General features: G+C 41.7%; 1 protein-coding gene across 2 annotated transcripts, besides 2 other annotated features; it reads left to right on the top strand.

Annotated features, from left to right (window-relative positions):
• Nucleotides 6,766-6,865: an enhancer, noted in NCBI's record as "active region_23499". NCBI's record gives its function as "activates an Ori minimal core promoter by ATAC-STARR-seq in GM12878 lymphoblastoid cells {active_cell/tissue: GM12878}" and the evidence as "EXISTENCE:reporter gene assay evidence [ECO:0000049][PMID:35858748]".
• MED7 (mediator complex subunit 7) lies at nucleotides 7,393-12,834 on the top strand. Of its 2 annotated transcripts, none has more exons than NM_004270.5 (2): nucleotides 7,393-7,438; nucleotides 10,810-12,834. In NM_004270.5, exon 2 carries the CDS (start codon nucleotides 10,827-10,829, stop codon nucleotides 11,526-11,528), a length of 702 nt encoding a protein of 233 aa, NP_004261.1. In that variant the 5' UTR covers nucleotides 7,393-7,438; nucleotides 10,810-10,826; the 3' UTR covers nucleotides 11,529-12,834. The 2 variants fall into 2 exon arrangements, with proteins under 2 accessions (NP_004261.1, NP_001094286.1); NM_001100816.1 differs by lacking the exon at nucleotides 7,393-7,438 and adding an exon at nucleotides 7,483-7,857 and having other exon boundaries at nucleotides 10,810-11,818.
• Nucleotides 7,676-7,725: an enhancer, noted in NCBI's record as "active region_23498". NCBI's record gives its function as "activates an Ori minimal core promoter by ATAC-STARR-seq in GM12878 lymphoblastoid cells {active_cell/tissue: GM12878}" and the evidence as "EXISTENCE:reporter gene assay evidence [ECO:0000049][PMID:35858748]".
• Nucleotides 12,835-23,343: the final 10,509 nt, after the last annotated feature.

Raw genomic sequence — 23,343 nt, 5'->3', positions numbered from 1 at the left:
TGCGATCTCAGTTCACCGCAACCCCCGCCTCCCAGGTTCAAGCAATTCTCCTGCGTGAGCCTCCCAAAGGGCTGGGATTACAGGCGTAAGCCACCGCGCCCAGCCGATATTATTTATCTTGATTACTGAGTTTGCTCCTCCTTAATTTTGTGCATGAGGCGTGTTCCTTACACACCTCCACTTAGTCTTGATCCTGATATGAAGCTACACTGAAAGCAGGTAGTTCACATTTGTACACACACCATTCAGGAGATTTTTTTTCTTCTTTCTTTTGCTTTTGCTCAAATCTGTCTTTGAACAAAAATATATTCAACATTGGCCATGTGTGAGGTAATTCCAGGGATTGTTAAGGGGATGCCCAGATAAGTCAGGAACTTAGCTACAGCCATAGAAATAAAACAGGCGCATAATTACAACTTCAGCTAGAGGAGTGCTGTAAGAAGTAAAGGAAAGAGGCTTTGAGTTGGTGAGAGGTAATTTTTATTTGGGTGAACTGAGAGAAACCTTTTGGAGAAGACCATCTTTGAGATGGATCTTAAAGCGGGAACTTAAATGGATCGGACAGAGCCCAGATCCTTTAGGGAGTGTATAGAAAATCAATCAATCAATAAATCAATAAAACAGTTATTTTTTGTTGTTGTTGAGACGGAGTCTTGCTCTGTTGCCCAGGCTGGAGTGCAATGCTGCAATCTCAGCTCACTGCAACTTCTGCCTCCTGGGTTCAAGCGATTCTCCTGCCTCGGGCTCCCGAGTAGCTGGGATTACAGGCACACACAGCCACGCCTGGCTAATTTTTGTACTTTTAGTAGAGACAGGGTTTCGCCATGTTGGCCAGGCTGGTCTCCAACTCCTGATCTTAGGTGATCCACTTACCTCAGCCTCCCAAACTGCTGGGATTACAAGCGTGAGCCACCGTGCCCGGCCGTAATGGGTATATTTTGTGATAATTCAAAGAACAGGTATGATGATGGCATGGCTATTTTTTTCCTCTGGTGAAATTCCACATAAGGTAAATGTAGATTTTAATAGTAACAGCTACAACAAATTCAAAAGGGCTTACCTGCCTTTTTGTAGGATTACAAATTCATTTTAGGTTCTTCAGCCTGCAAGTAACAACTCAGGAGGACCCAATATGCAAGACACAAATCTTTCCCATAGAAAAGTTTAAGCTGGGGATTATTTCCAAATGCCAAGGTTGCTGCTCCCCCTGCTGGTAAGAAAAAATGCTGTAGGCAAAGCAAACCACAAGCACTCTCCCCACCCATGTGCTGCACACAGATCTGGATTGTTGACGTTTTAGTGATAAGGTCATTAGCAGCCATGAAGTAACAACAACAAAAAAATAGTGATTAGGAATTGAAACTATACTGCAGACTGCAGAAAAAAAATACATTAGCAATGACTCTCATCCAAAGTGCATCATTAAGGCCGGGGACGGTGGCTCATGCCTGTAATCCCAACACTTCGGGAGGTCAAGGTGGGTATAAGGCAGGAGACCACTACTACTCCTGCTGCCTTCCTCCCCTCACCTTGCCTAGTTCACAAGACAGGAGGAAAGAGAGAAAAAGCAAAAAGTTGGAAAAAAACAAAAGTAAGATAAATAGCCAGACAACCTTGGCAACACCACCCAGCCCTAGGAGTTAAAAAAAGTAACAATAACATCAACCCCTGACCTAAACTACTTGTGTTATCTGTAAATTCCAGACACTGCATGAAAAAAGCATTGTAAAACTTTTTGTTCTGTTAGCTGATGCATGTAGCCCCCAGTCACGTTTCCCACGCTTGCTTGATGTATTACGACTCTTTCACATGGACCCCTTAAAGTTGTAAGTCTTTAAAAAGGCCGAGAATTTCTTTTTCGGGGAGCTTGGCTCCTAAGACACAAGTCTGCCGACGCTCCTGGCTGAATAAATAACCTCTTCCTTCTTTAATCCGGTGTCTGAGGAGTTTTGTCTGCGGCTCTTCCTGCTACAGGTGGATCACCTGAAGTGAGGAGTTCAAGACCAGCCTGGACAACATGGTGAAACCCCGTTTCTATAAAAGTAAAAAAATTAGCTGGGCGTGATGGTGTGCATCTATAGTCCCAGCTACTCAGGAGGCTGAGGCAGGAGAATCACTTGAACCTGAGAGGCAGAGGCTGCAGTGAGCCGAGATCACACCATTGCACTGCAGCCTGGGTGACACAGTAAGAGCTTGTCTCCAGAAAGAAAAAAAAAAAAAGTGCATCGTTAAAACCATATACAGTATATGAGCTTATAAAAATCAGGAAGAAACAGGGACTGGAGATGAAATTTTTCTTTTCTTTTCTTTTCTTTTTTTTTTTTTTTTGAGACGGAGTTTCACTCTTGTTGCCCAGGCTGGAGGACAATTGTGCGATCTTGGCTCACTGCAAACTTTGCCTCCCGGGTTCAAGTGATTCTCCTGCCTCAGTCTCCTGAGTAGCTGGGATTACAGGCGTGTGCCACCATGCCTGGCTAATTTTGTATTTTTAGTAGAGGTTTCTCCATGTTGGTCAGGCTGGTGTCGAATTCCTGACCTCAGGTGATGTGCCTGCCTCGGCCTCCCAAAGTGTTGGGATTACAGGCGTGAGCCACCATGCCCAGCCTTTTTTTTTCCGTTTTTTTTTTTGGCAGAGTTTCACTCTGTTGCTCAGGTTGGAGTACAGTGGCGCTATATCAGCTCAAGCAATCCTCCTACCTCAGCCTCCCAAGTAACTGGGACCCCAGGTGCATGCCACCATGCCCAGCTTGGAGATAAAAATTTTTACTTGCTATCTTCCAATGATTCTGCCGGGCTGATCAGCAAGCCAAAGATACAATGTAACTGACTAACAGACGCTCAGGGATTACTATCTATAAACCTGCCTACCAATGACAGAGGTAGTAAGGCCAACAAAATCAACAAGTTGCTGTAACAATTCGACTTCTATAAGCATAAATAAACAAATAAAAGGAGTTTTGACCCTTACTGGGCATCAAATACAAAAATTAACCCCAAAAGGATCATAGACCTAAACGTAAAACTTAAAATTAGAAAACTTGTAGAAGAAAACAGAGGAAAAATCTTTGACTTTGAGTTAGGCAAAGATTCTTGGAAAGGACACAAAAAGTATGAGCCATAAAATAAAATAATTGATAAACTTGTCATCATCAAAATAAAAAAACTCTGCTTGCTGAAAGACACTTAAAAAATGAAATGATTAACCACAGACTAGGAGAAAATATTTGTAAAAGACATATCTTATCAAGGACTTATATCTTGTGTGTATTTGTGTGTGTGCACCCTTACAATTCAATAGTAAGAAAACATGCCAATTTAAAAAATGGGCAAAAATTTTGAACAGACAGTTCGCCAAAGAAAAGATATACATGGCCAGTAAACACATGAAAGATACCCAATACTAAGGAAATGCAAATTAAAATCATTATACAGATATTAGAATAGCAAAAAGTAAAAATTAAAAGGATAACACCAATTTGCAGATTGAGGGCAACTATACCTCCGATAGATTGCTGAGAAATGAAAAATAAGCAGCCTCTTTAGAAAACTGCTTGGTAGTTTCTCATATAGTTAAACATATAATTATTATAATGTCCAGCAATTTTGTCACTATGTTGTTATCCAAAAGAAATGAAAACATATGTCCATACAATTGACTTGCATGGGAATGTTTATAGTATCTTTGTTAAGAATCACCTCAAACTGAAATAACCCAAATGTCTATTAACCAGTGAATGGATACATGAATTACAGTATATTCATACAATGGAATATTCCTTATCTGTAAAAAGGAACAAAGTATTATACATTGAACAACATTGATGGACTTCAAAAGTATTATGCTAAGTGAAAGGAACCAGACACCAAAAACTACATACTTTCTAATTTCATTTATATGACATTCTGCAAAAGGTAAAACTATATGAACAGGGATCAGATCAGTGGTTACTAGAGGATGGGGATAAAGGGAAGGAATTGAAATAAAAAAAAGTTGTTTGGGGTGATGAAATATTCTACATCTTAATCCGGGTGGTAGTGGTTTTATGTCAGTATGTATTTATCAAAACTCTTATAACTATTCACCTAGAGTTAATTTTATTCTATGTAAAGTATCCCTCAATAAATCTACATTTTAAAAAATCAATAGGGTGGAAACTAAAAATTTCTGCTTGTAATTTAGGTTCAAATGACAGCGATGTTTTTTATAATGTGCCAAGATCCTAAGGGAGGCAAGAAGTCGGTTACCGTGTGTCTTTGCCCATTTCATCTCCCCTGCTCTTTCTTTCTTTGCTCACTAGCTATGGAGCACACAGGCTGCCTTCCTCTCTCTAATTCAGAAAGATCATGGCAGCCCCACGCTCTTTGCATTTGCTGTCTCCCAGATCTCTGCAGAATTCACTCCTTCATATTTTGTTTCCAAAGTTAACCTTCTGTGAGAGGCTACCCTGACCACCCTGTGTAAAGTAGCTATTCCCCAACCCACGTCACTATCACATTAATCTGTATTATACTTTCCCCCATAGCCCTTACCACTATTCGAAGTTTTTACTTGTTTGTATACTTCTTGTCTGTGTCTCTCTAGAACACCTTCTAGAAAGAACACTTTTTTCAAAGGCCCCACTGGCTTTTGTCTGTCTTTTTAGCCTTCTAGACCAGTGCCGGCACAACAGACACACAATATACAGATTTATTCAACGAGCATATTCCTTGTTAAGCTGTAGTAGGCATCTTTAAGTAATAAGCTTTCCATTGAGATTTTGCCAATATAGTCATATAATTAAATGTTTAACACACATCATATTGTCACTAGCCCTTCTCATGATATGGACTTCATATCCATTATTCATTTGAAGTTTATTGGAAAGAACACTAGATTGATAGTCAAGAGTCCAAGATTCTAGCCTTGATTCTGCTACTAACTGTTAAGACACTGCCCCTTTGGGCCCAGTAATTCTATTTCTAGAAATTTATTTCAAAGAACAAAATTGGACACATGCACAAACATATATGTACTGGGATCTCATCATCCTGTGTAGTTACACTGGATCAAATTTGGAGAAAAATAATTTAACACAATGAGGATCTGGCTAAAGAGACTGTGGTATAACCACCAAAGCCACGCTATGAATTTATTTGAAAGTGATGATTGTATTCATTTTGTTTCTTATTCAATAAACACTTATTGAGTATTTGCCAATTTCAGGCACCGTTGTATGTAGGTTCAAACACAACAGCAGTAAATGAAACAAAGGTCCCATGCTCATAAACCTGATATTTTTGATGGATAAGAAAGGCAATAAAATACATAAATATACTATGTAAGATGATTTCAGATGATGAGAGGTTCTATGAAAAAAAGATAATACATAGTAAGGGTTTCAGGGGCATCTCCCAAGAGAAAGATTAGGGATGCGCTATTTTGCATAGAGTAGTGTAACCCCAGAAGAACTCTTTGAAGTCACATTTGACCAGAAACCTGAATGAATTGAGGAAATGAAGCCGGGCGCGGTGGCTCACGCCTATAATCCCAGCACTTTGGGAGGCCGAGGCGGGCGGATCACGAGGTCAGGAGATTCAGACCATCCTGGCTAACACGGTGAAACCCCGTCTCTACTAAAAATACAAAAAAATTAGCTGGGCGTGATGGCGTGTGCCTCTAGTCCCAGCTGCTGGGGAGGCTGAGGCAGGAGAATGGCGTGAACCTGGGAGGTGGAGCTTGCAGTGAGCCGAGATTGGGCCACTGCACTCCAGCCTGGGTGACAGAGCAAGACTTCGTCTCAAAAAAAAAAAAAAAAAAAAAAAAAAAAAAAAGGAAAGAAGGAAATGAGACGTGTCAATATCTGTGCAAAGAGTTCCAGGCAAATGCATTGGCCCCAAGGCCGGGATGTACTTGGCAATTTTGTAGGGCCTGTGATATAGGCCAGGGGAAGGATGTCAGATTTTATTCTAAAAGTCATAGAAAGCCTTGGAGGATTTTGAATAGAGGAGTGATAAGACCGGTCTTATATTTTAAGAAGGTGTGGTAAATAGACTAAGGGAGGACAAAAAATCAAAGAAGTCCAGGTGAGAGATAATGGTGGCATGGCATAGGACCATAGCAGTGGGAACGGTGGTCAGTCATATTTGGAACTTTATTTACTTATTTTTAAATAGATCTAATGCAAAAGGCTGGTATGGTAGTTTCGGTGGGGTATGTGAGAAAGGAGAAAAAGGTGATTCCTTCGATTGAACATTTGCAATTGAGTAAAGTGCAACTGGGGAAAGATGTCTGTCACCACTGGATATGAGGGTCTGAAGTGCAGAGGAAACGGTGTTCCAGGGCCTGCATGTAATCATCCAGCTGATATCTGACTGAGAAGTGGTTGGAGAACTGAGTCCTGGGGCAATCCATTAATCAAATGTGCCAAATGCTGCTGACAGATGGAGTAAAATGAGGACTGGGAACGACCATTGGAAGTCACTGGTGCAGGATACATTGGGGTCAGCGGTGAGGAGAAAAGCTGGATTGGGTTATGCTCAACGTAGATGGATTTCTTCAGGAAATAAATTGATACGTGCGAGGGATTTAAAATGGGGGAGTCCGGAAGTGGTGGTTCACGCCTACAATCCCAGCACTTTGGGTGGCCGAGGCGGGCGGATCACTTCATATCAAGAGCTCGAGATGAGCCTCGCCAACACGGTGAAACCCTGTCTCTACCAAAAATACAAAAAAAAGAAAAAAAAATAGGTGAAACCCCAACTATTCGGGAGGCTGAGGCACGAGAATCGCTTGAATCCCGGAGACTGAAGTTGCAGCGAGCCGAAATCGCGCCACTGCAGTCCAGCCTGGGCGAAAGAGAAAGACTCCGTCTCAAAGAAAAAAACAACAAAAAAACCCTGCATGTCTATATTTTCGAATTTGTATGTAAGACGTCTTAATTGTATGCGTTAAATTAAAAAAGGACAAAAGGAATGGAACTACCAGCAGCGACTAAGTCAGTAAAAGAGTGGTAATGGGGAAGGGGGTGGAATATACGCAGGCGCAATAGCAAGCGTTTCTTTTGGAGGTTATTTTCGTGTCATAAATTTCTAAATTCACGTTAAGTCTTACAAGAGCATGTTAAACATTAAAACATAAGATTGTTTCTGGTCAATAAGGGGTCTATAAAAAATAAAGCAATAAGGTGTCTTGTTCAATTTTATGCCTTAATTCAAAAAGAAACGAAGAAACGGAACCCTCAGCTACGACTTTTAAAAGTCAGTAACGGGTGGATGGGAGGAGTCAAACATACGTAGGCGCAACAGCGAGGGATCGGTCTGAGGCGGAGCTAGAATTTCGTTAAAGGACAGCTCTTACAGCCAATCAAGGACAGAGTCGGTGGCTTCTTCCCGGAGGAGACCGGAAGTTGGTTTCGGCTGCAGAGGGGAAGGCGGCTACCAGTGTAAAGCCAGAGCTGAGGTAAGTGGGCGGCAACGGTTTGGGGCCGCCGCCTGTGTGCGTTTTTTTCTTCCGGACCCCGCAGCTTCCTCTGTGCTGGGCTGGGAACTGGGGAGGCATGGCTGAGTTCGGCCTCCAAAGGCGGTCTTTCGTCTTTCTCTCCCGAGTCTCTCCGAGAGTGCGGTCTCTCCGAGAGCGCGGAGGCCTCGGGGTGGACAGCCTGGAGGAGGGGGCTCTAAGCGTGGCAGTCTCGGGGCTTCCTCCGTGTTGGGACGCCGAGCCGGAGTGGAGGTTGGGAGACCTGGCGTCTAGTCCCCGCGCCGCTGTTTTTCTAAGCTGTGTGGCCTTGGGCGAGTCATTTGCCCTCTCCGGCTCTTTGTAACATGAGAGTAGCCCTCCCTGCCCTTCCTTCTTCTGGGAGCAGTTATGAAACAGCTGAGGTATGGGGGCAGGCGAGGGCGGTAGATCCCAAGCCTAATCGTCAGGTCCATCTGGAGAGGTTTTAAAAGCGACATTCTAGGGCCCATTCACAGTAGACAGAATGAATCAAATCTCTGGGGCTGGGACCCTGGAATGTCTGTCGTCTTCTGGTGAAGCTCCTTCTCCCCCAGTAGAACAAACACTAGATGTTGGATCTTGAGTTAAGAACCAGCTCTGATGCTTGGCTCTGCTTTTATTAAAAATAAGACCTCCATCACCTTTGAAAAGTTCCATCTAGAGAGACAGTAGAGAAAGAAATATAATTTTTGTGATATGCCAGTCCTTATTGTACAGTTAGATGCTTCTCGGCTTAGGGATATAAGAGAGCTTGCCCTTTGGAGCTAAAGGGACCTGGGATAAGAATTCCTGTTGTGCCATTTATTAACCTTTTGATCTGGGGCAACACTTCCCCTCATTGAGACTTCGGATCCTCACTTCTAAAATGAAATTGATAATAGAACTTAATTCGTGGGACCGTGTGGTGGCTCACGCCTGTAATCCCAGCACTTTGGGAGGCCGAGGTGGGCGGATCACTTGAGGTCAGGAGTTCCAGACCAGCCTGGCCAACATGGTGAAAACCTGTCTTTACCGAGAAATACAAAAATTAGCTGGGCGTGGTGGTGCGCACCTGTAGTCCCCAGCTACTCAGGAGGCTCAGGCAGGAGAATCCCTTGAACCCGGGAGGCAGAGGTTGCAGTGAGCCCTGATGGTACCACTGCACTCCAGCCTGGGAGACAGATTGAGCCCTTGTCTCAAAAAACAAAACTAACAACAAAAACCCCAAAAACCTTAATTCATAGAATTGTTAATGAAGATTATGTTACAGAGGCCATAAAAAATGGTACCTGTCATGTAGTTGGCCTTAGGAAAATGGCAGCCGCAATACAGGAATGCACATCGTGTAGGAAAGTACAGAGCAGCACTCCTCACCTAAAAAGGTTTGAGTGGGATGAAACGTGAGCTGTCAAAAATTGTATTTTCTGCCGGGCACGGTGGCTCACGCCTGTAATCCCAGAACTTTGGGAGGTCGAGGCAGGTGGAACACGAGGTCAGGAGATCGAGACCATCCTGGCTAACACGATGAAATCTCGTCTCTACTGAAAATAGAAAACATTAGCCGGGCGTCGTGGCGGGCGCCTGTAGTCCTAGCTACTCAGGCGGCTGAGGCAGGAGAATGGCGTGAACCCGGGAGTCCGAGCTTGCAGTGAGCCGAGATCGTGCCACTGCACTCCAACCTGGGTGACAGAGCGAGACACTGTCTCAGGGAAAAAAAAAATGTATTTTGAAGTACCAGATCACTGTTAATTCTTTGATTTTGGTAATTGTGCTTTGGGTAGAAGAAAACATTCTTGTCACGAGAAAACACACTGAAGTATTCAGGGGTAAAGGAATGAAAAACCAATAAAGCAAATGAAGGAAAATGTTAACATTTGGAGAATCTGAGTGAAGAATATGAAGTGTTTTTTGTGTATTCATGCACTTTTTCTGTAATCTGAATTTATGTTAAAAGTTTTAAAATGTCTGGGTGTGGTGGCTCACGCCTGTAATCCCAGCACTTTGGGAGGCCAAGGCAGGAGGATTGCTTGAGCTCAGGAGTTTGAAACAAGCCTGAGTAACATGGCAAAACTCTGTCTCTACAAAATATACAAAAATTAGCCGGGCTTGGTGACATGCCTGTAGTCCCAGCTGCTTGGGAGGTTGAGGTGGGAGGATCGCTTGAGCCTAGGAGGGCGAGGCTGCATCATCCTATGCACCACTGTGGCATAGTGGAAACTCAGGGCTGCGCCACAGCTGCCCTCAGTACCTCACGAATTCTAAGTATAATATTGCTTCTAGTAGGATACTTGCCCCACCCGATGTTAGAGTGTGTTATATCTTGAAACTCTGATAACACCAATCTAAAGGAGCACTTAAGGATCTTCTCATTGGATGGTATACCTAGGCTTAAGGTAGAATAAGTAGAGGTTATTATGGCCATAGATACTGGGTTTGAACCTGGGGTTTGACATTTCTGTGATAGTTGTAGAGAAGTTAATGTGTCCATACAGGCCAGGCGTGGTGGCTCACGCCTGTAATCCCAGCACTTTGGGAGGCCAAGGTGGGCGGATCACCTGAGATGGGGAGTAAAGAGACCAACCTGGCCAACATGGCAAAATCCCGTCTCTACTAAAAATACAAAAATTAGCCAGACATGGTGCACGCCTGTAATCCCATCTACTTAGGAGGCTGAGGCAGGAGAATTGCTTGAGCCCAGGAGGCGGAGGTTGCAGTGAGCTGAGATCTGAGATTGCACCACTGCACTCTAGCCTGGACATCAGAGCAAGACTCCATCTCAAAAAACAAACAAAAGTTAATGTGTCCATATAAAATTGCATAGTATACTGTGACAAAAAGGGTATGGAACTGAATCATCATTTCATTCAGGAACTTTGGATAATAATGTGTTTAGGATTTAGCAATGTTAATTTTGTCAGAGTGTTTATGAGAGATACAAGTAAGTGTTTGCTATTGGAAATAAATCTATAACATAAAACAAAAGTGATTGTGATATGAGATTGGGAGACAGCCTGTGTAGTTTGGTTATGGAAGAGTAAAGAAATGGGGCATAAGTGGTGAGGGGCATGGAGTCCAGAAGATTTTCTTTAGAGATGAGAGGATGCTACATATTTTTTAATGCTGATGAAATTATTAGAGAGAGAATGGAAAATATGTGAATGGTTGAGAATATAATGCCTACTTAGAAAAGATGGCAGACTTTCCCTATCATAAATGTTAGTTTTAGAAACCAAGGAGATCATCTTGTCTTCGGCCCCAAACTGCTGGAAGAAAAGGAAGAAAATATTCCATCTGTAGTTATGAAATGTAACAGGTTTGTCTTGTGGCTCTAATAAATCTTTGGTCTGTGTCCATAGGTTCTTGATAGTCCACAATGGGTGAACCACAGCAAGTGAGTGCACTTCCACCACCTCCAATGCAATATATCAAGGAATATACGGATGAAAATATTCAAGAAGGCTTAGCTCCCAAGCCTCCCCCTCCAATAAAAGACAGTTACATGATGTTTGGCAATCAGTTCCAATGTGATGATCTTATCATCCGCCCTTTGGAAAGTCAGGGCATCGAACGGCTTCATCCTATGCAGTTTGATCACAAGAAAGAACTGAGAAAACTTAATATGTCTATCCTTATTAATTTCTTGGACCTTTTAGATATTTTAATAAGGAGCCCTGGGAGTATAAAACGAGAAGAGAAACTAGAAGATCTTAAGCTGCTTTTTGTACACGTGCATCATCTTATAAATGAATACCGACCCCACCAAGCAAGAGAGACCTTGAGAGTCATGATGGAGGTCCAGAAACGTCAACGGCTTGAAACAGCTGAGAGATTTCAAAAGCACCTGGAACGAGTAATTGAAATGATTCAGAATTGCTTGGCTTCTTTGCCTGATGATTTGCCTCATTCAGAAGCAGGAATGAGAGTAAAAACTGAACCAATGGATGCTGATGATAGCAACAATTGTACTGGACAGAATGAACATCAAAGAGAAAATTCAGGTCATAGGAGAGATCAGATTATAGAGAAAGATGCTGCCTTGTGTGTCCTAATTGATGAGATGAATGAAAGACCATGAAAGATGTTTCTTTTTCTTTTTTTCCTTTTGATAATAGCATCATATATTAGTTCATTTTCTTTTGGACAGTCTTAAGAGAAGTTTCACTAAAAATGTAAACAGCTTTAATCTTGACTCCAAATTTTTCAATTATGAGATGTCATAGGCAGTAATTTCGCTGTATAACAAGCATAGACAAATGAGTGTCCCTGCACTAAGAAGAATCACTTTAAAAAGCAAAGTGTTAGCTGCTGTTGTATGGGACATTCCTATGTTTTAGAGTTGCAGTAAAACTTTGATGATAACCTCAATAATAGCAAAGTTTTCGTCTTTGAAAAGGGGATTTAGCATTTGCTTTAAGAATGATAGATAAATGGATATTAAGCTCTCTACATGTAAAACTATGAAATCTTTAGACTTATTCCATTAAAAATTTTGCTTAAGCTCCAAAAAGTAGCATAACATGTTGATAGAGAGGAGCCCAGTAGAGTTATAAAATAGAAACTTCATTTTTTCCTCATGACTGCTTCTGTAAACCCACTAGCTCAGTCTTTTCTCCCTATCCTGAATGGACTCTTGCAGGGAAGTCCCATAAATTGTTGTTTTTTTTTCCAGTCACTCAGGTAATAAGTCCTTTGGTCACTTTAAGTTACAGACATTAATTTTAGTAATTAAGATGTCTGTGTCATTAGCTATACATTTTCTTTAAAGCTAAGCTCAGACTTGTTTAAGTCCACAATGGGAAAGGGGTTTGATGGCAGAGACTGCTAGGTGTCTACCAAAGATTCTTGCTCTTTGAAGATATGTTGTCAAGATGTGGCAATCCAGCCAGGGACATTTCCCTACTCCCAGCATCTCTGTGAGAACATATGACTAAGTCGTAGGCGGTGAAATGTGGGCATAGGAATCCAGGCTTGCCCCATAAACATTTCTTGCATGATCCTCCATTCTCTTCTCCCAGCTGCTGGTTGGACGGTCGTATCCAGGATAAGTTTGGAAGCCACCGAAGATGGCAAAGATTGTCAGTCTGGTTCTTTGAATGACCGTGAGGACTAAGTCTTCCTTTCAGTAACTCCACTCTGCCCCTAGCTAATTGGACTTTATATGAGCACTTTCTTCTCTTCTTCCCCCGACTGTCCATCTGCTCTTCCACCAAGGTGTTAGTGGAGAGTTGACCTTGTGTCTGAGGATCTCTGCCTGCCGTTTTCTTAATGTAGGCCCGTGGTTCTTAAAGTGTGTGGTCCTGGACCAGCAGCATTGGTATCACTTGGGGACTTACTAGAAATAAAAGTTTTAGTATAATCCGTAGGTTCAGAAAAATAAAAAATAAATGAGGGTTCTCTGGCTCCATCCCAGACCTTTTGAACCAGAAACTTCTGGGTGTAGGTCCCAGCAAGCTGTATTTTAAGAAGCCTATGTGATTATGATACATGCTCAAGATTAAGAAACATTGAGGCTGGGTGCAGTGGCCCACTCCTGTAATCCCAGCACTTCGGGAGGCTGAGGCTGGTGGATCACCTGAAGTCAGGAGTTCGAGACCAGCCTGACCAACATGGGGAAATCCCATCTCTACTAAAATACAAAATTAGCTGGGCTTGGTGGCGCATGCCTGTAATCCCAGCTACTCGGGAGGCTGAGGCAGGGAGAATCACTTGAATCTGGGAGGCAGAGGTTGTGGTGAGCTGAGATTGCACCATTGCACTCCAGCCTAGGCAACAAGAGCGAAACTCCATCTCAAAAACAAAAAAGAACCATTGAGAGGCAATGCCTTTCCCCAGATGTCTACTTTTTTATTTCTTCCTTAGCCCCTGGTTTCTAGCATAGGGATTTGCTCACTTAAACTTTCATTGGTCCTAGAGCTAGCAAAGTTCACATTAAAATGATTATAAGGGGCCTGGCGCAGTGGCTCATGCCTGTAATCCTAGCACTTTGGGAGGCTGAGGTGGGTGGATTGCTTGAGGTCAGGAGTTTGATACCAGCCTGGCCAACATGGCAAAACCCCGTCTGTACTAAAAATACAAAAATTAGCCGGGCATAGTGGCAGGCGCCTGTAATCCCAGCTACTCGGGAGGCTGAGGCACGAGAATTCCTTGAACCCAAGGGGTGGAGGTTGCAGTGAGCCGAGATCGTGCCACTGCACTCCAGCCTGGGTGACAGCAAAACTCTGTCTAAAATATATATATATATGTGTATGTATGTATATATGTATGACTATAGGTCAGTTCTCTATGAAATGTGCATGCTGTGCTTTCACAGATCCAGGGACTGTAAGTTATCCCTAGGTAGACACTTCTTTATCAGATAGGCAGTTGGTTGGCTAGTCTCAACTTTTGTTTTTTTCTGGTACGTAATGTGTTTGGTATAGACCTTTGGGCCTCAGAGACTCCAGAGGACATAGTTCAGGCTCTCAAGCTTAAATTGAAGTAGGGAGCATCACCTTGTGAGGGAGAAAGGTGGAAATTGCTTAGCACTTGAACAACTCTCCAAAGAAAATTCTCTTTCTTTGACTCTGAGAACCTTGAGGAAGGTGTTGGGTTGAGGTGCAAAACCAGTTTTTGGCCACTTTGAAAATCTTTGCATGTAAAAAACAGAATCACATAAGAGCCACAACACTACTTATATATGAACGTGTGTGTGTTGGGGGGAGGGGCGTTGAGGGATTAAAATGCCACTGGGGGGCCAGGCACAGTGGCTTATGCCTGTAATCCCAGCACTTTGGGAGGCTGAGGTAGGAGGATGGTTTTAGGTCAGGAGTTTGAGACTAGCCTAGGCAACATAGTGAGACCGTGTCTCTACAACAAATTAGAAAAAAAAATGCCATTGGGGAGGATCTGATCTTGCAGGTCTGTGACTAGGACCTGACATAAATTCCTAAAGTGTTCTGATATGAACTCTTGCTATTAGAGTGGAATGAAAAAAAAGCTCTAGTGGCCTTATATAAGGTCTTTTTAATCTTGTGTTAAAATATATCTCTGCACACCTACTTATAATGAATATTCTTGAAAGATTGATTCATTGAAGTGAAATATCTGGAAGGATCACCTTTTTAAGCAGCTTTTGAAATGACTAATGCCCAGGTCCCACACTGCGGAGATTCTGATTTCATTTTTTGGACTGGGGTACTAGCATTGGTTTTAAGAAATCAGAAGATGATTCTCTTGTGCAGTGGTTACAGAATGTTGCATTAATCAGTGCTCTGTTACTGCTGACAAAAACCCTACTTGAACTAATTTAAGCAAAAAGATGAATTTATATAAAGGATATGGGGTATGGGCTGGGTACGGTGGCTCACACTTATAATCCTAGTGCTTTGGGAGGTTGATGTGAGAGGATCACTTGAGCTCAGGAATTTGAGACCAATGGGGGCAACATAGTGAGACCTTCTCTCTCTTACAATTTAATTAAAAAAAGAAAGGATATGGGATATGTTGATTGAAGGATAAGTTGAATATATAAACCATGAGAAGGTCAGAAAGTGGATGAAGTTTTAAGTTAGTAGCCCTGGAGACCATCTTTCCTGTTAGCTTCATTCTCTTTACAGATGAACTTCTTTAATGATGTAGGTGGAGAACATGGCAGCTGACAGTTCCTAAGGGTTAAGTATTTCTATGTTTACCACTGTCTGGGAGTTCCCTCTCAAATGCAAACTTAAAAAAAATGAGGGGAGGTTAATTAACGAGCTAGACATGAGGAATTAGGGGTTGTATACTTGATTGCAACTGGGCAAATCAACTGGGACTTGGATCCCATAAGAATTTCACAGTCCCCGCTATGTCTATTTATGGAAGAGTCAGTCTGTCTCTCAGAGGAAGGAAGCGGTGCTGAGCTAACGATAACGAGAGATCTACTACAAATCAGGCACATGTGAACTTAATATAAATAACAAACATAAACGGATTGTACAAATTTGTATTCCCTTTATGAGAGTAGTTTTTCCCCAGCTATTCATTTATTCATGATATTCATTTGATGAATACTTACTGTGGTCTGCACTCTGCCTGATACTAGTTTAACTGTTGGATGTGTGGGAAGGGCGAAGGAAAATGTAAGAAAGATAATAAGACGAGTTAATTTTTGAAGGTGATAAGTTTGTGTCTTAACCACTCAGCCATTACAGCACCTTCAGAAGAATCTTGCTTCCAGTTATGTTCCTATTGCCTGTTCAAAGCACCTTGTCCACATTATCTTCCCTTTTCAAGGAATGTGTACATTTTTTTTTGTCTTTTAAAACTTTTTTTTTTTTTTTGAGATGGAGTCTCACTCTGTCACCAGGCTGGAGTGCAGTGGCGCAATCTTGGCTCACTGCAACCTGCAACTCCCTGGTTCAAGTGATTCTCCTGCCTCAGCCTCCCGAGTAGCTGGGACTACAGGCGTGCACCACCATGCCCAGCTAAGTTTTGTATTTTTAGTAGAGAAGAGGTTTCACCATGTTGACCAGGATGGCCTCGATCTCCTGACCTCGTGATCCACCTGCCTTGGCCTCCCAAAGTGCTGGGATTACAGGCGTGAGCCACCATGCCCGGCCTAAAACTTTTTTTTTCTTTTTAAGTAGAGATGAGGTCTCACTATGTTGCCCAGGTTGGTTTCAAACTCCTGAGCTCAAGTAATCCTCCAGCCTCCCGAAGTGCTGGGATTACAGGTGTGAGCCACCATGCCTAACCTCACATTTGTTAAGGAATTTAGAAGGCAACTTTGCTAGGCACGGTGACTCACACTTGTGATCCCATCACTGAGAAACTGAGGCAGGAGTATCACTTGAGTCCACGAGTTCGAGACCAGCCTGGGCAACATAGGGAGACCCCATCTCTACAAAAATATTTAAAAATTCGCTGGATGTGATGGCACATGACGGGTTCCAGCCATTCCAGAGGCTGAAGTAGAAGGGACACTGGAGTCCAGGAGGTCAAGGCTGCAGTGAGCCACAGTCATGCCACTGCACTCCAGCTTGAGTGACAGAGTGAGACCATGTCTCAAAAACATAAAGAAAGGCAGCTTCAACTCATGCACTGAGCCCTGAGGTTACTGGGAACGGCAGGTGCAAATATCTCATGAGGAGATAGAAAGTTGGCATAATTTGGATGAGAAAGGCTACTATGGCTGCAATATGGTGAGGGAGGAGGTTGGAGCTTCAGAAGCAGGTGGAGGACAGATGTGCATGATTTAGAGAACCAAGGGAAGGAATTGGGTTTTTATCTGAAATCTGATGAGAAATTATGTTTGCAATTGATTTCTCATCAGATTTTACTAAAATACAGAGAATCAGTAGGAAGGGTACTAGCTGTACTCTGATAGATTTCTAAGTACTGCAAATGGTGCTAAGTGCTTTGTAGCTGTTCTCTTATTTAATCCTTAGAACAATCCTGTGAAGAACCTTCTAAATCTGATGGTATTTATGGCTGTAAGTTGCTGGCAATGTTTTAATCTCTTTGTATAAATAAAGTCATTTTAGCCTTACAACTACTGAATGAAATCAGTATTCTTTTTACACTCATATTTCAGATGTGGAAGTGGAGGCTCAGAGAAGTTATGTAATTTACCCAAGGTTAACTGACTAGTGGGTGGCAAAGCCAGGATGGAAACTAGGCATTCTAGTTTTCCAAGCCTGAACACTCAACCTTCATACTTCATTGCCTCTCCATTCCCTCATGTTGTTACTAAGTCACGTAGGTAAGTAAGTAGCGAAACCAAGAGTGGAGCCAATATTTTGACCCTAAAATCCATGCTTGCAAATACTACTTGATACTGGGCTGAACAGATTTATAGATGGAAACTATGAGTTCCCTTTGAACATATTAAGGTGCTTATGTCTTAGCTTAGACTTCTATGAGTATCTTAAGGAGATTCTGTGCTTATAATTCTAATCTTCCTAAAAACTCTTAGTAGGTATTATCCCCATTTTATGAGTAATGAAAATTGAGGATTAGAGTTTAGGTTTGCTCAGGTTGGAATCTAGGTCAGGAATTGGCAAACTCTTTTGTAAAGATTCAATTAGTAAATATTTTAGGCATTGAGGACTGTACAGTTTCCATTGCAGCTACTCAACTGCTGTGGGTCGAAAGCAGCCATAGACAATGCATAAACAAGAGAGCTCGGTTCCAATACAGCTTTCTATATGGACATTGAATTTTGAATTTCAATAATTTTCATATGTGAATTATTCTGATTTTTTCCAACTATTTAGCATGTACAATTATTCTTAGATGTGAGAGTACAAAATCAGACAGCAGGCTGGATTTGGCTGGTGGGCTATGATGTAGGTAATTGGATTCTAAACTTTGGAGTGTTTTCACAAAGCTACTAATAAAAAATCACAGAAATATAAATTACAGAAGCTTCTTCATAGGATTAATCCAAGGATTAAATAGGAGAATGGCTACAAAGCACTTAAGTTTTATTTTATTTTTAATTGACAAATTATTTATTTGTGAGGTACAATGTAATGTTTTAATATATGCATACCGTACTGAGCCTTTTTTCTTTTGCATGCCACTGGCACTTAGAATTAAATTTGTGAGCGGGTTTCAAGTTGCGTTGTGATGAGGCTACCAGTAAGTGGCACTCTTACCTCAGATTTAAGAGCTGTAGCTGGTTGCAGAGTAGACTAAAATGAAGAAACTCAGAGGTACTGCTTACCCTAACTTAACTCTGGGTAGTTAGTGTCAGAATTAAATTGAATCATTAGATACGTACTTTGTCTGTTGAATTAGAGAAATGGTTGGTGTTGGAAAACACCCCAGAATCCTAGGGCTCTACTGTTTAATCAGCTGTATATCTCGGTTTCGTATATTAACTTCCTGCTGGGCGGCGTGGCTCATGCCTGTAATCCCAGCACTTTGGGAGGCCGAGGCAGGCGGATCACCTGGGGTCAGGAGTTCATAGACCAGCCTGACCAACATGGTGAAATCATGTCTCTACTAAAAATACAAAATTAGCCGGGTCCATCCTGGCTAATACGGTGAAACCCCGTCTCTACTAAAAATACAAAAAATTAGCTGGGCGTGATGGCAGGCGCCTGTAGTCCCAGCTACTCGGGAGGCTGAGGCAGGTGAATGGCGTGAACCCGGGAGGCGGAGCTTGCAGTGAGCCGAGATTGTGCCACTGCACTCCAGCCTGGGCGACAGAGCGAGACTCCGTCTAAAAAAAAAAAAAAAAAAAATTAACCGGGCATGGTGGCGCATGCCTGTAATTCCAGCTACTCGGGAGGCTGAGGCAGGAGAATTGCTTGAACCCGTGAGGCAGAGGTTGCAGCGAGCTGAGATTGCACCATTGTACTCCAGCCTGGACAACAGGAGAAAAACTACGTCTCAAAAAAGAAAAAACTTCCATAAAACTCAATTTCCTTAACAATGGTAAACATAATACACATCTCCGCATAGCGTAGGTACCATCTAACGCTGAGAATGAAAGAGAAGACCCATCCTAATTCTTTTAGTTTTTTTTTATTATACTTATTATATTAAGTTCTGGGGTATATGTGCAGAACGTGCAGGTTTGTTGCATAGGTAACACGTGCCGTGGAGACCCATCCTAATTCTTTCTGAAACTCATTTGCCTCGAAGCGACATACTCAGGGCCCGCTAAACATCTGTGCAGAAGCATCTGATCTGAAAGGGCAGCAGGAGTGCCCTGGAGGCTTAAGTGGTGCTTGATTCTGGGGCTCTGAGTCACTGCTACTTGCAGGGGAGACTGATAACGAAAAAAAAAAAAAAAAAAAGAGGAAGGCACAAATAATAGCAGAAATGAAAGGGGGGACATTATTATAGTAAAAAAGTAAAATATGGATTTTTTAATAAGTTAGAAAATTTAGACAAAATGGACACATTCTTAGAAAATTACCAATACAGATTGAGGAATAGGAAACCAGGATAATTCTCTAACAATTAAAATAAATGGATCAATAGTCAAAATCTTCTCACAAAGAAAACTTAAAAGTTCAAATAGCTATACTGGTGAATCTTAAAGTCAGCTGATTAGCAAAAGCAAATAAGCAAACAAAAACACAAAACCAAACAAACAAAAAATAGCTTTGCTGGCAAGTCTGCCAAACATTGCCAGAAAAAAATACAAAAATAAATGAATAAATAAATAAATAATGATTTCAGTCTTATACAGACTCTTTCAGAGAATAGAAAAACAGGAAGTATGTCCCAACTGTTTTTATGAGGCTAGCACAAAATACTAGCAAATTGGACCCAATAATATGTAAAAATAAAAGGTAATGTATTATGGTTAATCTGTGTTTATCTCAGGAATATAGAATAGATAATATGTCACAACAATATAAATTGAAGAAAAATCACTTGGTCATCTCAAAAGATATGCAAAAGGCAGTTATAAAATTTAGCATTGGCCAGGCGTGGTGGCTCATGCCTGTAATCCCAGCATTTTGAGAGGCTGAGGCAGGTGGATCGCTTGAGGTCAGGAGACCAAGACCAGCCTGGCCAACATGGCAAAACCGTGTCTCTACTAAAAATACAAAAAAAATTAGCTGGGCGTGGTAGCCCACACCTGTAATCAATCCCACCTACTTGAGAGGCTGAGGCAGGAGAATTGGATGAACCCAGGTAGCGGAGGTTGCAGTGAGCCAAGATCGTGCCACTGTACTCCAGCCTGGGTGACAGAGTGACACTCTGTCTCAAAAAATAAATAAATAAATAAATAAATTAGCGTCTATCCATGAAAAAGAAAAAACCTTTAGAACATTAGGAATAGAAGAAGACTTCCTTAATATAATAAATAGTAGCTCCATAAAACCTATAGCATGTATTATACTCAAGATGAAAACCTGTAAATTTCCTTTGAGAGCTGGAGTAAAACAAGGATGCCTGCTATCAAAATGTCTATTAAATACGTACTAGATTTCCTAACCAGCATGGTAAGGAAAAAAAAAAGTAGTATTGAAAAGGAAGGAACAAAACTGTCGTTATTTGCAGAAAATGGTTGTTAACATAGAAAATTCAGTGTAACCCACAGATAACTTATTAATGAGTTTACTGATTGCTGAGGAAAAAATATTCAAAAATCAATTTTATTCTGGTATACCAGCAACAAACAATAACTTAAAAATGAGATACTCAGCCAGGAGTGGTGGCTTATATCTGTAATCTCAGCACTTTGGGAGGCTGAGGCAGGAGAATCGCTTGAACCTGGAAGGTGGAGGTTGAGGTGAGCCGAGATTGCAACATTGCACTCCAGCCTGGGCAACAAGAGCGAAACTCCGTCTCAAAAAAAAAAGTTTTTTTCCTCTACTTCCTCACCAGCATTTATGTTTTCTTTTTTTCGTAATTGCTGTCTTGAGGTGAGATGATATCTCATTATAGTTTTGCTTTGCATTTCTTTTTCTTTTTTTTTTTTTTGAGATGGAGTTTCCCTCTTGTTGCCTAGGCTGGAGTGCAATGGTGTGACCTCAGCTAACTGCAACCTCTGCCTCTGGGATTATAGATGTGTGCCACCACACCTGATTAATTTTGTATTTTTAGTAGAGATGGGATTTCACCATATTGGTCAGGCTGGTCTCAAATTCCTGACCTCAAGTGATCCACCTGCACTGGCCTCCCAAAGTGCTGGGATTATAGGCATGAGCCACTGAGCCTGGACTGCATTTCTCTGATAATTAGTGTTGTTGAGCATTTTTTTCATATACTTGTTGGCCATCTTTATGTATTTTCTTTTGAGAAATGTTTGTACAGATCATTTGTTCATTGTAAAATCAGATTGTTTATTTTTTGCTATTGAGATGTTTGAGTTCCTTGTGTATTCTGGACATTTATCCTCCACTAGATGAATGAATAGCTTGCAAACACTTTCTCCCATTCTGTAGGTTGTCTTTTCATTCTTTTGATTGTTTCCTTTGATGCGCAGTTTTTGTTTGTTTGTTTGTTTTTTGAGACAGAGTCTCACTCTGTCACCCAGGCTGGAGTGCAGTGGCACGATCTTGGTTCACTGCAACCTCCGCCTCCCAGGTTCAAGTGATTCTCCCACCTCAGCCTCCTGAGTAGCTGGGATTACAGGCTCATGCCATGATGTCTGGCTAATTTTTGTGTTTTTAGTAGAGACAGGGTTTTGCCATATTGGCCAGGCTTGTCTCGAACTCCTGACCTCAGGTGATCCACGCCCCCTGGCCTCCCAAATTGCTGGGATTACAGGCATGAGCCACCATGCCTGGCCCTGATGTACAGTTTTTTAGTTTGATATAATCCCATTTGTTTATTTTTGCTTTTGTTGCCTGTGTGGTTGAGGTTTTATTCATAAAATATTTTCTCAGACCAACGCCTTGAAGCAATTCCCTTATGTTTTCTTCTAGTAGTTTTATAGTTTGGGGTCTTATATCTAGGTCTTTGATCTATTTTGAGTTTATTTTTGTATAGGGTTATAGGTGAGGGTCTAGTTTCATTCTTCTACATATGGATATCCAGTTTTCCCAGCACCATTTATTGAAGAGACTATCCTTTCCCCAATGAGTATTGTCAAAAATCAGTTGGCTGTGGATACATGGATTTATTTCTGGGTTCTCCATTATCTTCCACTGGTCTATGTGTCTGTTTTTGACACACAGTATCATGCTGTTTTGGTTACAACCGCTTTGTAATATGTTTTGAAGTCTGGTAGTGTGATACCCCCAGCTTTGTTCTTTTTGTTCAGAGGGTCTTTTGTGGTTCTATGCAAATTTTAAGATTTTTAAACAATTTCTCAGCCAGGCGTGGTGGCTCATGCCGGTAATCCCAGCACTTTGGGAGGCCGAGGCAGGTGGATCACAAGGTCAGGAGATTGACACCATCCTGGCTGACATGGTGAAACCCCGTCTCCACTGAAAATGCAAAAAAATTAGCTGGGTGTGGTGGTGCGCACCTGTAGTCCCAGCTGCTTGGGAGGCTGAGGCAGGAGAATGGCCTGAACCTGGGAGGCAGAGGTTGCAGTGGGCCAAGATCGTGTCACTGCACTCCAGCCTGGGCGACAGAGCGAGACTCCGTCTCAAGAAAAAAAAAAAAAAAAAAAAAAACAATTTCTCTGAAGAATGTCATTGGTATTTTGGTAGGCATTGCATTAAATCTGTAGGTTGCTTTGGGTAGTATGATCATTTTAACAATATAAATTCTTCTGATCCATTAGCATGGGATGCCTTTACATTTATTTTATCCTTTTCACTTTTTTTCATCAATGTTTTGTAGTTTTCCTTGTAGAGGTCTTTCATATCCTTGGTTAAATTTATTCCTAGGTATGTTTTTGTAACTACTGTAAGTGGGATTGACTTTAAAATTTTTTTTTGATGAGTTTGTTGTTTTTATATAAAAATGTGACCGATTTTTGTATGTTGATTTGTGTCCTGCAACTTTACTGAATGTGTTTAGCACTATGTTGAGTAAAAGGGCATCCTTGTTTTTTTCCAATTATTAGAGGAAAAACTTTCAGCTTTTCCCCATTCAGTATGATCTTAGCTGTGGGTTTGTCATGTATAGCCTTTATTGTGTTGAAGTACTTTTATTTATTTTTCTTTTGAGACAAGGTCTTGCTCTGTTGGCCAGGCTGGAGTGCAAGGGCACAATCTTGGCTCACTACAACCTCCTACTCCTACGCTCAGGTAATCCTACCACCTCAGCCTCCTGAGTAGTGGGACTACAGGCATGGGCCATCGTGCTCACCTAACTTTTAGAACACTTTTTGTACAGACGGGGTTTCACCATGTTGTCCAGGCTGGTCTCAAACTCCTGGACTCACACGATCCACCCTCCCAAAGTGCTGAGATTACAGGCATGAGCCACCATGCCCAGCCTGGTACTTTTCTACTATACCTAATTATTTAGAGTTTTTGTTATGAGGGTGTGTTGAATTTTACCAG

Source organism: Homo sapiens, chromosome 5, assembly GCF_000001405.40.
Source record: "Homo sapiens chromosome 5, GRCh38.p14 Primary Assembly".
NCBI lineage: Eukaryota > Metazoa > Chordata > Mammalia > Primates > Hominidae > Homo > Homo sapiens.
The sequence above is the reverse complement of the archived record's forward strand: the minus strand, read 5'-3'. Positions and strand labels throughout refer to the sequence as shown.